This window comes from Homo sapiens, chromosome 11 (genome assembly GCF_000001405.40).
Source record: "Homo sapiens chromosome 11, GRCh38.p14 Primary Assembly".
NCBI lineage: Eukaryota > Metazoa > Chordata > Mammalia > Primates > Hominidae > Homo > Homo sapiens.
This window is the reverse complement of record NC_000011.10, coordinates 78,423,669-78,443,170: the sequence shown is the minus strand read 5'-3', so window position 1 is coordinate 78,443,170 and position 19,502 is coordinate 78,423,669. Positions and strand designations below refer to the sequence as shown.

The window sequence follows — 19,502 nt, the reverse complement described above, 5'->3', positions numbered from 1 at the left end:
GTATTTTTTAGTAGAGACAGAGTTTCACCGTGTTAGCCGGGATGGTCTTGATCTCCTGACCTCGTGATCTGCCCGCCTCAGCCTCCCAGAGTGCTGGGATTACAGGCATGAGCCACCGCACCTGGCCAGCTTGTCCTACATTTTTATCTTATCTGTGTTCTTTATTTACTCTCAATTATGATTGGCAGACTTCTATAAGGACATAAAGACAAACTCTGAGCCAGGGAAAGGATGAAGTTGGGGAAAGAAAACTAGTCAGATAGCATTTAGAATAAGCACATTTCACTTCCTCAGATTCTCTTCTATGTAAGGGTCTTGATTTAGCTATTTGAATAACTTTATTCTAACTTGCTGTTTGAGAACTGGGAAACAAATCTGTAAACACATAGAGAATGTTTTGGAGATGGGAAGTAAGGAATCATGTTTCAATTGAACCGCCACTCCTACATATACATTTATATGCCATAATGACTTCCTAAACTAACCATACCTGTTTTCCATGATTCCTACTTTAGTAAAAGTACTGCCAGACTTAAAAAAAAAAAAAGAAAGACTTTACCATGTCTGTATGCTTCATTCTCTCCAGATAGTACTGGGTTTCATAGTAATCTGGAAAAGCCATAATTGTTTAAAAATATTCTGTTAGCCATTTGTGAGGCCTTCTTTTCCTAATGGGGAAATGCTTTAAAAGTTGATGCTTTTTCAAGGTCTCAACCTATATGTAAATCTCCTGGGTAACTTAGTTTTGTTATCCCACTCATCTGAACTGCTCTACTGGGTTAGGATCCAAAAGAAAGGGGATGGATAAATAGGTTTGAGGAAGACTGTATTCGTTAGACGACTAACTCCTTACTACTATTACAGCATTAAAAAAGTCCTGAGAAAGTTGTGGAATTGAAGGTCAGACTCTAGTTGAAAAAATCTGAGTATTCTCTATGTTTTTTAAAAAGCACAATAAAAATCACACATGGCAAGAAACCTCATCTGTTGAAAGATTAATTGGTCTGTTTTCTTTGCTTGCTTCCTTCCTCCAGGAAACCTTTCCTCGTAACATTAAATGTTTACCTAATACCTGATAATAGCCACATCTGTCTTTCGTAATGAAGTGGATATATATGATTCCCTATTTCAGGGATCTGTCTATGGCTGCTCTTCATGTTTTCTGTATTTTTGTATATTTGAATTTTTCATATTCCTGGTCACATTAGATGCACTGTGGTCCAAAACACATTTTTTAAAGGGCTGAGTTGAATTTCAATTACCACTAAGAATTTAAAATTTTATTAATAGTTCTCAAACAAGAATCAATGTGCAACCATATTATGAAGGCAGCCTCAGAATCTATATTATTGTTTTAATGTTGAAGAATGAAAGTTATATCTCTGTGTCCCTTGTCTGTGTGTGCCTCCCAACAACCTTAACTAGTAATAATAGTGCTTTTCTTTTCTTTTTTTTTTTTTGAGATGGAGTCTCACTCTGTTGTCCAGACTGGCGTGCAGTGGCATGATCTTGGTTCACTGCAACTTCTGCCTCCTAGGTTCAAGCAATCCTTCTACCTCAGCTTCCCGAGTAGCTGGGACTACAGGCACACACCACCACACCCAGCTAATTTTTGTATTTTTAGTAGAGATGGGGTTTCACCATGTTGGCCAGGCTTGTCTGGAATCCTGATCTCAAGTGATCCACCCACCTTGGCCTCCCAAAGTGCTGGGATTACAGGCAGGAGCCGCTGCACCCTGCCTAATAATAGTGCTTTTCTTATGTCACAGGATAATAAACTCATCTCAGGTGAATCCCTTCCTTTGGACTCTGGATCATATTTTCTTTCTATAACATTTATTGTGTAAACCATTTATTTGATAACACCTTGTGCTATTGGTTAAGTTACTGTATGGTTTCAGCTCCTCAACTATATTGAGTATTACTTGAGAGCAGAGGCTTTGTCGTCTACTTCTTCATAAAGAGTTCTTTGCACACACCCAGAATAAATGTCTAGTGGTTAATATTTATCTTATTGCCGTTCCCTGAAAGAATTTTATTTTCCTTTAAACAGATCGGGACTTACAGAAGTCTACCAATGGTAAGAATGTGGCCCCTAATAATTCTTACTCTAGCTGCTTGTCTGACTGTTGCCTAGAAGCGTTTTTACTTGTATCCCCAAGACCCCATGAAAGAGTGTTAAAAACAATGAACTTAACTGTTCTTAGGTCAGGGAAGGGGTTGGGGGCTCAGAAGATTACTTACTTCCTTTGGGTTCTTGAAAAATAGTAATAATAGCTCTCATTTACTTACTGCTTATTGTGTGCCAGATAATTATGTTAAAAATTTTATGTATATTGGCTGGGCGCAGTGGCTCACGCCTGTAATCCCAGCACTTTGGGAGGCCAAGGCAGGTGGATCACCTGAGGTCAGGAGTTGGAGACCAGCCTGGCCAGCATGGTGAAACCCCATCTCTACTAAAAATAAAAAAATTAGCCGGGTATGGTGGCAGGCACCTGTAATCCCACCTACTTGGGAGGCTGAGGCAGGAGAATCGCTTGAACCTGGGAGGCAGAGGTTGCAGTGAGCTGAGATCACGCCATTGCACTCCAGCTTGGGGGACAAGAGCGAGACTTCGTCTCAAAAAAAAAAAAATTATATTATGTCATGTAATCATCCTACCACCCTGTGAATTAGGTACTATTATCCTGACCCTTCTTATTACTCCCTAGGCATGAGGCCCAGAGATGTTAACTAACTTAGCCAAGGTCACACAGTTTGAGGGATAGAGATGGGGCTTGATCTCTCTGAATCAAAATGCTTGGCTCGGCCGGGCATGGTGGCTCACGCCTGTAATCCCAGCACTTTGGGAGGCCTGGGTGGGTGGATCACTTGAGGTCAGGAGTTCCAGATGAGCCTGGCCAACATGGTGAAACCCTGTCTCTACTAAAAATACAAATACTAGCTGGGCATGGTGGCGTGTGCCTGTAATCCTAGCTATTTGGGAGGCTGAGGCAGGAGAATTGCTTGAACCTGGGAGGCGGAGGTTACAATGAGCCAAGATCGTGCCACTGCGCTCCAGCCTGGTGACAGAGCGAGACTCCGTCTCAAAAAATAAATTAATTAATTTAAAAAAATCCTTTGCTCTTAAGCATTATGCTGCAATTTCTTTATGTGTGAAATTAGGGGCTTGAGCTAAGTGATCCCTAATGCCCCCACGAACTATAGAAATCCAAGCTGCTTAGGGAGGACCACGTGTCTGTACTTATACATTCACTTCCTCAAAGTTGTTTTGGTTTTCCTTATGCAGACTTTTTCTTCAAGTACTTTTCAATATATATACATTTTTTATTTATATTTCTATATTAGCACTCCTTCAGGATCTTGGTATAATAATACCAACAATATTATTAATCCTTGTGCTGTGCTCAGGAAGAGGAAGGGGCAAGTTACCTACACCCTCGCCTTTTGGTATGGAAGGAGATAGGTTTCAGAGATGCAAAAAAATCTAAAATTGGCTTCAGGTGATGGCCTTTGAATGCCTTATATTAACCAGTAATGACCTTAGGCATATTTAATCTCTCCGAGTCTTGTTTTTTTGGCTATAAAATGGAATGATACTATCTCCTTCACAGAGTTATTGTGCGGATGAAATGAAACAATACAGGTTAAGTATCTACATAGAGTGGAAGCTTAGTAAATGCTAGTTTCCTACCCCCTTTCTTTTCTTTGTTCTGAGTCTTGCTATTAGGTAGATAAGCCTGATGATTGAGCAAGCTTATGTATTTTATAGTTTGTAAAAACTAGCCTTAAAAAAAGCTAAACCACTAGCCTTAAAAAAAAGCCAAAGCCACCGTGGGTGCGGTGGCTCACGGCTGTAATCCCAGCACTTTGGGAGGCCAAGGCAGGTGGATCACTTGAGGTCAGGAGTTCGAGACCAGCCTGACCAACATGGTAAAACCCCATCTCTACCAAAAATAACAAACATTAGCCCAGCGTGGTGACAGGTGCCTGTATTCCCAGCTACTCCGGAGGCTGAGGCAGGAGAATCGCTTGAACCTGGGAGATGGATGTTTCAGTGAGCCAAGATCACGCCATTGCATTCCAGCCTGGGCAGCAAGAGCAAAAGTCCATCTCAAAAAAAAAAGCTAAATACAGACTGCACCCCAGCCTGGGCAATAGAGTGAGACTCCATCTCAAAAAAAAAAAAATTGGTTAAATAAGTTTAGGCCTTGAAAGTCTTTATTAATCATTCTTTTCCCAACTAAAGTTTTCAGATCCTTAAGATCTCCTTGAATTTGCTTCCTTCTATATTAGTATATTAAAGGTAAAAGAGACCTTAGACATCTTCATATCTGTGATGTCTGCTAGTGTTCCACCATACGGTGAGAAGCCACCCCAGATGGCTAAGAATTTACTCACTTCCTATTTCTGTACCCCATATGCAAATTAAATCTGTAACTAGTTCCACAAATTTCGTAGCATCTCTTCCATAATCTCGCTACCCTGGAACCAATTTAACAACAATCAAACAAATACATATACATTAGAAAATTTTTTTCTTAGAAATGGATTTTTTCATCTATCAAAGCAAAGGCAAGAAAAATGCTACAGACTGAACCCCTCTGCTGACAGTTTGCAGATATTCATGCCAGTGTTTCAATATCAATGTATGAGAAATTTAGACCCATCTAAAACTATTGCTGGACTTTGTAGCAGCCAGGTCAGGTCCTGTAGGCATCTGTGACAGGTAGTTTGGTGTGCTGTTCATTTCATCACTGAGTCAAAGTGTACTCTTTCCCGCTGCCTCGTAAACTTTAAAGTTAATTTAGCAACTAAACATTTCAGTTATTCAAGACTGAATAACTGAATGTGCCTCCCATTATTTCTTATAGTTATTACTAATCTGAAGTTTTATACTAGATATCCCTGTAATGTTGGTCTCTTACCTGATTACAACTCATCTGTTTGGAGTTAATCTTTTCCTTTAAAAAGATAAGTGCTTAGACTTAACTCCTTGCAATACCAGTATATGTAGCCATTATTATTAATGGTGGGGAAATAGGTTGATGGACAGTCTTTATGACTGAGGAACCAAGTGGCTACAAGTTATGTTGCTTACGTCTTATTATAGAACTGATTTTACAAATCATTCAAGAAAATATAAACTTGCTTGGTTTTTGTCTTTTTTTTTTTTTCTTTCTTTTTTTTTTTTTTGATACAGAATCTCACTCTGTCACCCAGGCTGGAGTGCAGTGGCTCCATCTCTGCTCACTGCAACCTCCACTTCCCAGGTTCAAGCGACTCCTCTGCCTCAGCCTCCTGAGTAGCTGGGATTACAGACGGGCGCCACTACGCCTGGCTAATTTTCCTATTTTTAGTAGAGACGGGGTATCACCACTTTGGCAGTGCTGGCCTTGAACTCCTGAGCTAGTGATCCGCCCACCTCGGCCTCCCAAAGTGCTGGAATTACAGGCATGAGCCACCACACCCGGCCGATAAACTTGTTTTAATCAATATTATATAACTCAAGAATTTCCCCACAAAATGACATAATAAAATATTTATAGTTGCCCTTTTCCTCTTTTCTTCCTAAAACTTTTTCCAGTGCTGGTGTGTTAGAATCTGAGTTTCAGTCATGTCTGTGCCATTGTCTTGCCATGTGGTCTTTAGTGGGAAAAGAATGTGCGTGGATGGGTTTCAGAGGCTGTCTAGCATGTCAGCTAAATGACTCTGGGCATCTTCACTAGGCCTAAGGCAGAGAATTAAAGGTTTCTCCTCACTCCAGCATTCAAGCATATATTTTTGTGCCTTCAAACAAAACTTCATGTAATTAACACCTACTCTAGAGCTCCCTGGTGATAAAAAGTTGAATGAAGCACAGTTCCTGCCCTGTTGTAGCTTATAATCTAATCTATAGGATATCTTTTCATAATGTAACAGGCAAAACTCTGCACTCTCCTCTGTGTATTGAACAATATGATTTTGGGAAGGAAAAGAAAACATTGTGATTAACCTACCAAGAAATAAAAGAGGCGTATATTTTCAAGAAAATTAGTAAATCTATAGAAAATTTTCTGTAGCCTCCTGAGGCAAGTTTTCTGTCATAAATGCATAAATATAATAGCTTAAAAAGGAAAAGGGACCAAAGCCCATGACTGTATGACAGGATCCACTGCTGTTTCTCTGGGTAACCTTGGATAGATTATTCAGCTTCTTCCTTTCCATTGTCTGTCTGTGGAGGGGAAAGACTGGTCTATCACAGTGAGGTAAACAATAACAAATGATTGCAAAATACGTTTGAAACATTAAATTCTAATCATAACATCTGGTCTTATACTATATATAGATGATGATTTTCTATTTTTGAAAAACAGGTATCTGGACCTTCGTCGATTTGGATCTGTGCCACATGGAGGTTTTGGGATGGGATTTGAACGCTACCTGCAGTGCATCTTGGGTGTTGACAATATCAAAGATGTTATCCCTTTCCCAAGGTTTCCTCATTCATGCCTTTTATAGCTGGAAGATTGGTTAAGGAAAAGCACCCCCCATGGCAGAGACACTGCACATGATTGTGCATACAGCAGAATGCATGTTTGGATTTTAGAAATGCAGATTTCAATATGTAATTGTTGTGCCATAAGATATCATAGAAAAAATATAAGTGGTTGTGATTTTCTTAGAAAGTTGAGGGTATTTCACGTAAGGATGAGCTCCCGCAAGAAGAGGTACTTATAGCAAGGGGACTCTCAAATCCATTACCTCAATTAAGAAATGAAGAAATTGAATTAGTCTCAAAGTTTCTTTTAAACTCTAAAACAGAATGAGATAATGTATTTTACGTTGTCTATAATCATTAAATCACTCCCTGTGTAATTTGTGAGAACCATCTAGTAGCTCGAAATAAAATAATGTTGCATCTTTTCTCCCTTGCCATATACTTTGTGATAAATCCTTATCTCATTTTCAGTACTTCATTAAACATTGCAGAAAAAAATATTCCTTAAGGTCTTAATTGATTTAAAGAAGTAGCTATTCTGAATTGAAATCTCCTTTCATTGAACTGGATGAAAAAATCATGTTTAATAACTGTTGCTTTTCAATTTTCAAAGCTGTTGAGATATTACATTAAGTATTTCAACTCTTTAATCACTGTTGTTATAATTTGTTTATATTTGATGTTTATAATTTGTCTAATAAAATAGATTTTTTTAATAGACACCTATGGAAAAAAAGTTATATATTTTTTAATTTCATTTGGTCCTTTCCCAGTAAAATTTGGAAGAAAGGTATTTTCAATCCAAGATGAGGATGGGAGTTTGGCTGAGCCTAAAGGATGGGTAATTCTAGAGTTAAAAGTAGTGTGGTCAGCTGGGCATGGTGGCTCACGCCTGTAATTCCAGCACTTTGGGAGGGTGAGGCGGGCGGATCACTTGAGGTCAGTAGTTCCAGACCAGTCTGGACAACATGGTGAAACCCCATCTCTACTAAAAATACAAAAATTAGCCAGGCGTGGTGGCAGGCGCCTATAATCCCAGCTACTTGGGAGGCTGAGGCAGGAGAATCACTTGAACCCGGGAGCCGAGGTTACGGTAAGCAAAGAACGGGCCACTGCCCTCCAGCCTGGGAGACAGAGGGAGACTCCATCTCAGAAAAAAAAAAAAAAAAAAAAAAAGTACTGTGGTCTATGAGAGTGAGAAGAGCATTGATTGGGGAGTTTAGAACCTGACAATTCTAGCACTTTAGACAGGCTGCTTACTGTGTAGGAGCTCAACATCATTTTCTTCAGAGTTGATAAAATAATTACATGTGTGTTTGTGTGTGCGTGTGCGTGTGCACACACACACATGCATATGTTTAAAACTGAAATGCTACAAAAACTTTTTTAAAACTCTTGTTTTAGTCTTTGTCTTCATTGAGTTACATGTATAAGGACCTATATAGCAAATTGTATTCTCAGTAGAATACGCATGTATCAAGTAATTGTAAATGGGCATGCATGCCTGAATAATCAGTTTTCTAAGTCTCATTAGATGGGTTCTCCTAGATTATTTCCTAATGAAATTTGTATGTATACTTTATTTTAACCTAATTCAAAATCAAACAGCTGAAAAGAAACAAATTCCAGAGCCTTAAGAGTTGGAAGACACCTGAGAGTTTGTCAAAGTTGACCTTCTGCCTAATGCAGAGAGATTCCATTTACCTGGGCACTTGGTTTTCCAGCCTCTTTTTGACAAAGAAATCAGTGTCCTACAAAATTGCTCATTCCATTTCTGAATCTAATTGGTAGCTTTTGCTGAGCTAAAATCTCAGGAAAATCTACTTCCCTGGAACTTTAATCCCTTGGGCTTAGATATCAAGTTTAGGACAGGCTAAAAGGGATAATTAGGGCTTCCATAAGGCTTGCCTCAACCATAATTAGAGAGAGAAATTCATTTGTTTATTCAACAAATATCTGAGCTTCTTTTATATGCCGAGACTATGTGGTAGGTGCTATATAAACAGTTGTGGATCAAACAGAAATGACCCTGCCTTCATGGAATTATTAATATATTTGAGAAGATATATAATAATTAAATAACTTATTTCAAAATATAGTATGTGCTGTAAAGTTATATGAAGAACAGGAAAGCATAGATAAGCTTGCTAGAAAAGGCATGTCTGAAAAAGTGACATTTAACCATAGACCTAGAAGATAAAATGCAGAAAACATTTTAAAAATATTTGCAGCATCAGCCTGTATTGATTTGGCATTCAGGTCTTACTAGATACCATATTAATTTTGTGGAATGAGGGACATTTATAGACCCAGAACCTGGAGGCACTATAATTTCCAAGGCTATCAGGAATTATGCCTCCCATGATTTTTGAGGGACCTGATAGCATTGTAATGTTAACATGACAGAGGTTAACAAAATAATAGTGATGGAAAGATTGCTGAGTTAGAGAAACCCCAGGTTCTGGACCCAGCATTACCATAAATGTAGTTGTAGAGCATTAGGCAAGTAAAATAATCTTTGTGACCTCCAGTTTTTTCATCTATAGTACTATCACATTTTGAAGTAGGTAAGCTCTATGGATCCTTTTATCTCTTAATCTTCTGTGAACCTGTGCTGAACTTAGTCACTAATAATTGATTTAGAGTCTAACCTTTAGGCAATATGTAGTCCCCTATTTTAGTACATATTAAGTCTCCAAAATGTATAACGAAGTCACATCGCTGAAAGTTGAACAGTAGTCTTAAATGTGTTCATATACTGTATATGTGGAAGGAGGAAAGGTCCTTCTCAAGGCATCTTGCCTTTTTGATAGTGTTTTCACCAATGTATTTCCAAAACTTTATACATTCTTTTCCTTGATAGTTGATCACACAATGAATATCTGGTTGAAGCCAAATACTTGCCACCTATAGCAAGCCTAATAATTTGTCTTTGGTGCAATACTTCTATTTTGCCAATAATTGAACAAAAACAAAAATTCAAGTCAGACAAAGATGATGAAAATGCCAAAACTGAACTGTTGCTTGCAGGCAGCATCAGCAGGAAAAAACTCAAAATGTTTACTCATCAGCTGAGATATGAATATCTAAATTCTACATTGCAAACAGTGTTGTATAAGTCAGTGTATAATGAATAAACGTATGGATTCAATAGTTGAGTACTGTCTACACCATAATAGCTTTTAGTGCTCAGTTTCTGAGTTAAAAGGTGATAAGAGGGTTAGTTTTTCACTTGAGCAACCCATTTCCAATGAGGAAAGAAATCAGATTATGTTTTCCTAAGATTTCCAAATGCCACCTGAAAATAAGAACCCCAGCAACCAAAGTAGAAGTATATTCTAAAACTTAGAAAGGTTTTTTCCATTATTCTCATTCTTATTTCAAATTTTGAGATAGGTTGAGAAAAATAGTTGCTTTCCATCTGGCTGTCCTTTTGCCTGGGGAAAGTTGTGCTGTCATGTTTTTAGGTCTGACAAGAACTTAATTGTGTGAGTGATCCATTCCAGATCTAGACATAACTCTCCAACCCAGAGACTCTTCAACTGTCACAGAATAGCAAAAGAACTATTTGACCTTTTGTTCTTGTCAGACTGGATCTGCCAGAAGCCTCCCTCTACAATGTTATATATTCATATTCTCTATAAATTGAATGTAGACATTGAAGCATGACTGAACAGGCATTGAAGATGTACTTGGTGAGGTGGATTAACTCTACCCATCTTTAAATCCGTTGCTTCAGATAATTATAGATGAGAGATGCTTATTTGGATTGGATTGCTATTTATTCTTATGTTTATTTTACTAAGTGGTGAGGCAAGAACACAAAAATGTACAGTTGAAAGACAGATTGGCCTGGGTTGATTGATAAGTAATGTGTGGGGTGTTTTGGCTTCTGATCAATATTTGTATTCAGTCTGCAATCTATGTATAATTAAAAAAACAGGTGAGAGTAACATCTGATTATAATTTCTCCCCAGTTAATCTTCAGAATTAAAAGATAGTAAAAGCGTTAAGAAAAGGGCAGAAAGCGGGCCGGGCACGGTGGCTCATACCTGTAACCCCAGCACTTTGGGAGGCCAAGACAGGCGGATCACCTGAGGTCAGGAGTTCGAGACCAGCCTGACTAACATGATGAAACCCATCTCTACTAAAAATACAAAAATTAGCTAGCTGTGGTGGTAGGCTCCTGTAATCCCAGCTCCTTGGGAGGCTGAGGCAGGAGAATTGCTGGAACTTGGGAGGCGGAGGTTTCAGTGAGCCGAGATGGTGCCATTGCACTCCAGCGGGGGGCAGCAGAGCAAGACTCCATCTCAAAAAAAAAAAAAAAGAAAAAGAAAAGGGCCCAAAGCAACCTTAATCACTGTATTGAAATGATTTAGTATGGCTTTTGTAAGAAAGTATTTTAAGTCATGGTCAGCATCCCTCCCTGAACTTGGACATTCTACTGTTGCCAGGAGCCCTAGATTGGCCTGTGATCAACTAAGGCTCCAGTTAGCTGTTGTGCAGTTTGGACCCAGCATTACCATAAATGGAGTCCAGCGAATTTCTAGCCATTATCAGCACACTGGATAGTTTCTGGGGGACCTTTATAAAGAAGACACCAGGAGTTTAGGTGGTTTTTAAACTGTCATTCAGGCAGCTGGTCATTGAATTAACATAGCTCATGACTTTTCAAAAATTTTCTGCTATACCTTTACTGTTCATAATTGTTACTAATAACATGACTATTATTTAGGCATTGCTTTACAGTTCACAAACATGTTTCATGTATCTTATTTTCTTAGTTATCAAGACAATACATTGTGGACTTTGTTCCTTTGTATCTTACTGGTCATGAAATTTATTTGGTTTATTTGTTATAAAAATTCAAAGTTCCTTTTGGGAGGCCAAGGCCGGCAGATCACAAGGTCAGGAGATTGAGACCATCCTGGCTAACACGGTGAAACCCTGTCTCTACAAAAAAAAAAAAAAAAAAAAAAAAAAAAAAATTAGCCGGGTGTGGTGGCAGGCGCCTGTAGTCCCAGCTTACTCAGGAGGCTGAGGCAGGAGAATGGCATGAACCCGGGAGGCGGAACTTGCAGTCAGCCGAGATCACACCACTGCACTCCAGCCTAGGCAAAAGAGCGAGACTCTGTCTCAAAAAAAAAAAAAAAAAAAATCGAAAGTTCCTAATACTGAGAGAAAGACTGCAAATAAAATTCACTGCCCTCAGCTTCCAGAGAAACCAAAAAACATAAAACCTAATAACCAAAGAATCTTGCATCTTAAGCCCCAGAGTTTACTGAATGTGTCGCAAAATACTCACCTTGACCTTGTTCTACCCAGGGTGAAGGGACAGGAGAATGTGAAGGAAGATGATGTTTGATCTCAAATACATTGGAGTAAAGAGAAACACTAAAAATGGGGTAAAGGATCCTAGACCCAGCAATGTACTTAAGCTCATTGTGCCTCAATTTGTTATCAGTTTATACTCACATTTGCCACCTTCCTTTTAGGATCATCTTTGAATTGTGGATAGAAAGATACATGAAAGAAACTTTGATAGGAATTATTAATATCTTCCTCGAAGTCACAGACCTTTGATTTTTCAAGGTAATAATCTGAAAATAGATACATGGTGAGCCTGTGTAACAAAGGTTTTTTTTCTGCAACAGGTGCCCATGTACACAGCTGGAACTGTATTTTGCCGAACCTGAGCCATCTACAACTGTGATTCTTTGATTCATAACTTTCTCTACACACTAGCTCAATAAGAATTGCTGGTTTGCCATTTTCCTAGGAACCTAGTTTTGAAAAATCTTGGAAAGAAGATAATTCTTCCCGTTTATGATATATGAACTACTCCCCTCTGTATTTCTCCTGATTCCTAGTAATTTACCTATTGTAGCTTCACTGAATAGGAACTCACTATCTTAATAGAGATCTTTTATTTATTTATTTATTTATTTATTTATTTAGAGACAGGGTCTTACTCTCTCACTCAGGCTAGAGTGCAGTGACGTGATCACAGCTCACTGCAGCCTCAGCCTCCCAGGCTCAAGTGATCCTTCTGCCTCAGCCTCCCACGTAGCTGGGACCACAGGCACAAGCCACCACACCCAGCTAATTTTTGTATTTTTTGTAGAGACAGGGTTTTGCCATGTTGCCCAGGCTGGTCTTGAACTCCTGGGCTCAAGCAGTCCTCCCACTTTGGCCTCTGAAAGGGCAGGGATTACAGGCATGAGCCACTGTGCCTAGCCTTATTTTTTGGAAACGGTCTTGCTTTGTCGCTCAGGCTTAAGTGCAGTGATGTGTACATGGCTCAATGCAGCCTCGACCTCCTGGGCCCAAGCAATCCTCAGCCTCCCATGTAGCTGGGATCACAGGTATGTGCCACCACATCTAGCTAATTTTTTATAGAGACAGGGTCTCACTTTGTTGCCCAGGCTGGTCTTAAACTCATGGGCTCAAGTAGTCCGCTTCCCTCAGCCTCCCAAAGTGCTGGGATTACAAGTTTGAGCCACCACACCCAGCCAAGAAGTTTTTCTCTCCTCAGAGAGCTCTGGTTGTTAGAAACTTCTACCTGAGAATAAGGAAACCTGTCTCTCTGTATCATGCAAATGGAATAAAATAGAAACACAACTCCTCCTGTTTTCCAGTATAGAACCTCTAACTGCTCAGGTGGACTGTCTGTCCTTCCCTGAAGTGCTGCACCCCTCTGTTATTCATCAGGTCGTGTGTCCTTATAATGGGCATTTCTATTGGTACATAAAAGCTTCCCTCTCCTGTTCACTCAGCTGCTACCCAAGTTTCCTGTGATACCAATCTTAGAAGAGCTTTCAAGTCTCCACTGCCTCCTTCCTATCTGCCTTACAGCCTGTGGTGGTTGCCGAAGAACTTTAATTACAGTGTCAGAGTGTTCAGGGACAGTCCCAACTCCCTTCATGTGAGGATTGCAGAAATGGGCTTGGATCGTATACAGACAGCGTTATGAGGCATTGCTGAAGAACAGTAAGTTCTTACACAGAAGTTGTCAACTAATATATGCATTTTCTTTGCCATACCCCAAGAGGCAGGAGCTGATTCCTATATAGTTAGGATATAGCTGACCAATGTTCTCTTTAAATGTAATTTCCATCTGCCACATTTTAAATTACAGGTTTTTGCATCAGGAAACTGTTGGGTCCAATTATTTGGTGCCTTGGAAAGGGCATTAAATGCATAGTGAGAAGATCCTGGTTTAATCTGACATTCCACTTACTAGGTGTAGAAGCTTGAGCAAGTTAATTAATCTTTGAGTCTGTATACCCAGCTGCAAAATGAGGATAATGCTTATCTTACAGAGTGTTGTGAAAGCAATGAAGATTGTGTGAAAGGGTTTCATAAACTGACAAGCACTGCACAAATGTAAGGTCCCCTAAGGAAAACCTTTTCAAAACTCAAAATCTATATGAACAGAGATACTTATTCATGTTGGGTGGAATGTTTTACAGCCATTAAAAATTGTAAGAGAAAATATATTGAAAAATACAATCTAAAATGGTGAGTTTGCAATTACAACAGTGTAAAACCTGTGTACATAGACTAGAATATGGAAAAAATGGATTACAGGGTAGTGGAATTGAGTGACTTTTGCTTTAAAGACTCTTAGGTATATTAGGTGTATTCAGTTTAGTTCAATAAACTTTTATTGAGCTCTCACTCTCCCAATCCCCGTGCTAGATTCTATGAGTGCTGAGACAAATAGGACATACTCCCTGCTCTCAGAGACTCCCATTCTGTACAGTCTTGTCAAAGTTTACTGTGTATGTGAATCACTGCGGAGCGTATTAAAAATTCACATTATCTTACTCCCACCAGAAGATCTGATTCAGTAGGTCTGTGATGGAACTAGCTCACAATTTACATTGTTTTAAACAGTCACCCTGAGTAATTCTAGTGTAAGTATTTTAATTCTGTACTGAGAAACCTGCAGTGAGATTTTAATATTTTTACACTAAACGGTAAGTAATAATTATACAAATCTGCTCATTGAAGAAGTTACCTGTTTTCTCTGCATGCTTGAGCTGGTTTTTATGTGTCTCTATCAAGGATGGGAAGGCCAGCCTGCAGTGATACCCCTTGGAACCCTTGCAGTGTAGAAACTACCACACCTCTCAACTTTTATCTCTTTTCCTCACTCCATTTCTCCCCACCACTTCTCCTAATGTTTTCTTCTTTCTATGCAAGTGTTAATCTCCCACTCTGGTTCCTTCTATGCCTAGTACTGTATCAACATCCAGGTGCTTCCCCTTCCTTTCTCCACCCCACCCCCCAGCCAGATATGTCAATTGTATTGAAAACAACTTACATCTAGTTTACTAAGTACAAACTTGTGCTGGTTAATGCTTCTCAAAAAGTAGGAGTGGGCTGTTTGTTGAGATCAACAATCATTTTTTTAAAAATCCGATATGGAAATTTTTGTGTCAAGTTTCACTGTCATTTAGTTCTTGACTGATTTTCTTCTGATGGGTTAGTAGCTCTCAACAGAAGATTTTAAAAGTCCCCTGCTCAGGTACCTGTCCTGCCGATAGAGCTGGGGTGTACCCTGCACCCTGACTCAACATTGCTTGTCTCCACATGCCTGTAAATGGGCTTGGGTGGCTTTCTCAGGCTACACACCTGTCACTTCTTAGTCACCCAGAATCAAAATATTAACAGCTCTGATCACATTTTCTGAACCTATGAGGCTTTATTTCAAGAGTGGTGACACTCCAAAATGCAGCTAGGATTTCCGCATTTTCACGTGTTAGTGTTGAAATCATTTTTACTTCAGGAAACCAAGGGTTGGACAATGGCTTCCAGACTTTCTCCTTTCGTTATGCTCCTTCAGCGCCTTATGCAAATACCGGTTGTCTTATGCTGCCATTCGTCTCCTCTGCCAGAATGTGAGGTCCGCGACAGCAGGGATAAGAATGCATTCATTTTTATATCTGCAGTGCCTTGGAGAGTGTCTGACACATAGTGGGCACTCATTTAGAAACCACCAATTGAATCATTAAGGTGACCAAAAACAGGGTGGGGGAAATACGTCCATCAGACAACAGGGAAATATTTCTTAAAAAAAAAATTTCCCAAAACTAGCTTTTCCCTCCTTATGTGTCTGAAATATCTCATAAAATTTTAAACTATCCCTTTCAGCACAAATCTGCCTGGAGCTGTTTCCTGAACACAGGACCAAAAGGCAGGAATCAAAAGTAGTAATGAGTTTAGTTATCTGTCTGTTACTGAAGGTGACTTCTAGGGCATCCTCCTGGCATTGCTTCTGGAATACAGTGACTTAGACTTATTCGGAAGAACATCTCTATGCTGTTCATCACATCGCCAGCACCTAGCCCTGTGCCTGTGCATAGTAAATGCTCAGTAAGTATTGTTGAATGATTGTATTAAATTGAGAAGAAATTCAGAAGCTAGTCCCAAATGAATTTAATTGCTCAGATTTTCAGTTAGTGGTTTTCCCCAACTTGCTCCCTTAATCTAGACAATTTTACTGCCTCCAAATTGAAGGTAGCTACTATTTATGTCATCGAATTTAACAAATGTTAACTTATGTCTATTCTGTGCCTATCTGTGGGCTACCCAAAATTAAACCTAACCTCATGTAGTTTCAGTCCCCATACAGTTGGTTCATAATTCTCAGTGCTCCCACAGTCCTTTGAACATACCTCTTATAACATTGCCCAAATACTACTGGAGATACCTGCCTATTTCTCTCCCCAGAAAGACCCTGAAATTCTGAAGAACCTAGTCTTATCTTGGTATTCCTATGCTGAACTTGAAGTAGTAGGTTCTCAGAAAATCCCTGCTGAGACTTGACTAACTTGTACATAAATAACCATTCCCTAGTAACATGTGTTTGAATAGAAATATATTTTGTATTTGAATAGAAAGAAACATATGGTTTTCTAAGTATATTCCTAATTTAAAGGGATACTAGGGGAAAGAAACAAGATTGGTTTTTGTGTCTCTATTAAACACCTTCCAAGGTGTCTTACTTAGTTATCAAACCTGTCCTTTTTCTGACAATTCCCCTACCCCTGTCCTGGCCAGTGGGTCCCTAGCAGACATCCTGGGGGCCAGAGCTTCCTTTGCTGATTGGTGTAGGGATGGACACCTGATCCCAAATAGACCAGTTTCACCTTCTCTTGGGAAATTGGGGTTGAGGACACTGGAGAGTCTGGACTGGTTGCTTGAGCCAGGAACACATAAACTTAGGAGCCAGTGGGTATAACCATGTACCCAGAGAGACAGAGAAAGCAGTCTTCAGAGAAAGAAACGAAGGCAAAATGTTCGGAGGTGAGGGAGACATGCAAAATGGATGCCTGGTTTTTGCCATGTTTATTCCCTGGTTGCTACTCTTTCTGAGGCCAGATTATTCAACTTTTCCATGGGTTCCACGGGAGATAACTCACTTACCATCTCCATTGGATCGTGAGTGAGTTTGAAATGAGTATCTGCTTTCACAACTAAAAGAAGTCAAATTAATATACTGTGTGACTTACAGAAGGAATTCTCATTACTTTTTAAGTCTCATTACCTTATAATCACATCTACATATCCCAGAATATATGTCAATCAGGAATTACTTAGATGGGAAATTCCTGATAAAATAAGATGCAGTAGGAGGGTAAGTGGCTTCTTTGCTTTTCAAATTTTTTAATAATCTAAGTCACAAAAACAGAAAGCAAATAAATGGAGGCTTATTTACAGAGGGGATTGGACACGTCAGACCTTTTTTGGAACCACACAATTGGATTTAAAAGATTTTGAAGAACCAACACATTTGGCAGCTTCCCAAACCATCTATTTTTGAAGATTCTGCTTTCCAGAACTGTATTAAGAATGGCCCTTGTCATGGGCGTTAGCTGTGTTTCAGGCTAGCCAAAACTAAAAACTGGAAGAGACTAAATAAGTATGTGTGCATGTAGAGCAGCCCAGACCCTGCAAGTGGACTGACCATAAACAATGATGGCCAAATCTATGAAAATAAGATAAAGACCTTGCTCTTCAGAAACAGTGCCAGATGTGTTCAGAGCTTTGTATACCACACTCTTTCAGCCCTGGTATGCCACACCGTGAATTTAGTGTTCACTTACAATAATCATTTTGAAAACATGCATGGAAAATACAGAGGAACTGTGAACTGCTAAAATCATTTGTCTGGTTCAGGAAAGTTTCAGAGGAAAATCTCGGGGCTTTTTCCTAGAATGTTATGAAAATATTAAATTATACTGATTGCTGCCAACATATTTTCTAACCATTCTAGGAAAAGAAAAAACAACAAAGTTTCCAGCTCTTACTCTAGATTGACACTGGACCTTGGAGATGCTTGCAGGTAATTTGACTGCACCTACTTTCCTTTTTTGGTTAATTGTGTTAAATGTGCCTCATAACTTACATTCCCGGTGAGGCTGTCATTTAGAAGGGGTGGGTGGGGGCTGAGGGGAAGCTGTTTTAATTCTGGCTTTTGTTTCAGCCACTAAATGTAATGCCACATGATTGTTGACCCAACAATAATCCAGTTAAAAAACAGTCTTCAGAGTTACTACATCATCAGAATTAACCCTGATTACATCAAATTATGTTGAAACAGACCACAGCTGTTTGCCCTGTTGAAGCAACTGCTTGAGAGCTCCTCCGGAAGATACATCTGGGTGTCACTAAGATACATTTTGGGTTTAGTTTTGTTTCTCAACACAAATGTAGGAGGGAAACAAACCCTGTTCTGCTGGGGTGCCTGGTGGGAGCTGAAAACCTTGTGATTCTCCAGCAGTCAAAAGTCATCTCAATTACCAAAGAGAAGGGAACCTGAGATCTTTTGTTTCAGTTTTCTATAGGAAGGATGTAAGAGGAAGGAAATTCAAATCTGTTGAGTATTGCTCTTGCCAGCAAAAAGAAGTGGAACTGACTAGTGAGATGGTGGTGAGATTTTCTTTGGTGGCTGTGTGCAGTGGTATCAACCCAGGAGAGTAGACTGTTCAATTGTGAAGAATTTTGCAAGATGGTTGTTAAAGTAGAACATCGTTAAAATTAAGTTGTAATAAAAAAAGGGAAATAAGCATTGGAAAAGATGTGGACAGATTGGAACCCTCATACATTGCTGATGGGAATGTAAAATGGTGTAGCCACTGTGGAAAAAAGGTCAGCAGTTCCTTAAAAAGTTAAACAGTGTCACCATATGACTCAGCATTTTCACTCCTAGATAAATACGTAGATTGAAAACGTATGTCCACACAAAAACTTGTACAGGAATGATCGCAACAGCATTATTCATAATAGCCAAAAAGTGGAAACAACTGTAATGTTCATCAGCTGATGAATGGATAAAATGCGGTATATAAAGAACTGTCAAGTGCTTCAACATGGATGAAACTTGAAAACATTATACAAAGCGAAAGAGGTTAGACACACAGGTCACATATTGTATGAATATGGTTATGTGAAATGTCTAGAATTGGCAAATCCATAGAGATGAAAAGTAGGTTAGCGGTTGCCAGCTGATGGGATTGGGGGAATGGAGAGTTGCTAATGGATATGGTGTTTCTTTTGGGGTAATGAAAATGTTCTGGAATTAGATAGCTGTGGTGGTTGTCAAAGTTGATGAATATATTAGAAACCATGAATTATAAACTTTAACATGGTGACTTTTGTGATACGTGAATATCTTAATTAAAAATTAAGTTATATAAACTTATAATTAAATAAGTTATATTAAAAAGAAAGGTAGTAACTACCCCAAACTCATCACTTGGCTAATTACATTTTACTATTGTGTTCTTGGTGTTATTTATGTCTATTGTGTCTTTATGTTGGAAATACTAAATAATGGTGTATTACTGTGTATCTCTTAACTCTGTATTCAAGGACATTAACTTGATAGCTTAAAACTGGCCATGGCTGGCAGAGTATTTATGCCACAACAGTTGGCATATACTGTAAATCAAGGCACCCACCAACACCACCAGGGAGCCAATTTTAAAATATTTGCCAGCACATCATTGGC

At 39.1% G+C, this 19,502-nt stretch overlaps 1 protein-coding gene and 1 long non-coding RNA gene across 23 annotated transcripts in view, besides 2 other annotated features; both read left to right on the top strand.

Moving 5' to 3' along the window:
* NARS2 (asparaginyl-tRNA synthetase 2, mitochondrial) overlaps positions 1–7,203 on the top strand; it is a 138,897-nt gene extending 131,694 nt beyond the window's left edge. For 18 of the 22 annotated variants that reach the window (NR_189155.1, NR_189156.1, NR_189154.1 and 15 more), the window contains 2 exons: positions 2,054–2,080; positions 6,357–7,203. Coding sequence is in view for 18 of the 22 variants with exons in the window: in NM_001243251.2 (NP_001230180.1) it covers positions 2,054–2,080; positions 6,357–6,501 (172 nt within the window). In the remaining 4 variants the exon portion in view is untranslated. Of the gene's footprint in view, positions 1–2,053; positions 2,081–5,203 lie in introns of all 22 variants that reach the window. The other 4 variants (NM_001425314.1, NM_001425303.1, NM_001425300.1 and 1 more) reach the window with 2 other exon arrangements.
* Positions 13,335–19,189, top strand: LINC02728 (long intergenic non-protein coding RNA 2728). Its single transcript, NR_120564.1, has 4 exons — positions 13,335–13,471; positions 15,641–15,862; positions 17,766–17,834; positions 17,976–19,189. It is a non-coding gene; the product is annotated as a long intergenic non-protein coding RNA 2728 (long non-coding RNA).
* Positions 15,857–16,056: an enhancer, noted in NCBI's record as "active region_5323". NCBI's record gives its function as "activates an Ori minimal core promoter by ATAC-STARR-seq in GM12878 lymphoblastoid cells {active_cell/tissue: GM12878}" and the evidence as "EXISTENCE:reporter gene assay evidence [ECO:0000049][PMID:35858748]".
* Positions 16,462–16,627: a silencer, noted in NCBI's record as "fragment chr11:78137590-78137755 (GRCh37/hg19 assembly coordinates)". NCBI's record gives its function as "represses an EF-1alpha promoter that drives an FKBP-Casp9 reporter gene in an ReSE screen in K562 erythroleukemia cells {active_cell/tissue: K562}" and the evidence as "EXISTENCE:reporter gene assay evidence [ECO:0000049][PMID:32094911]".
* Positions 19,190–19,502: the final 313 nt, after the last annotated feature.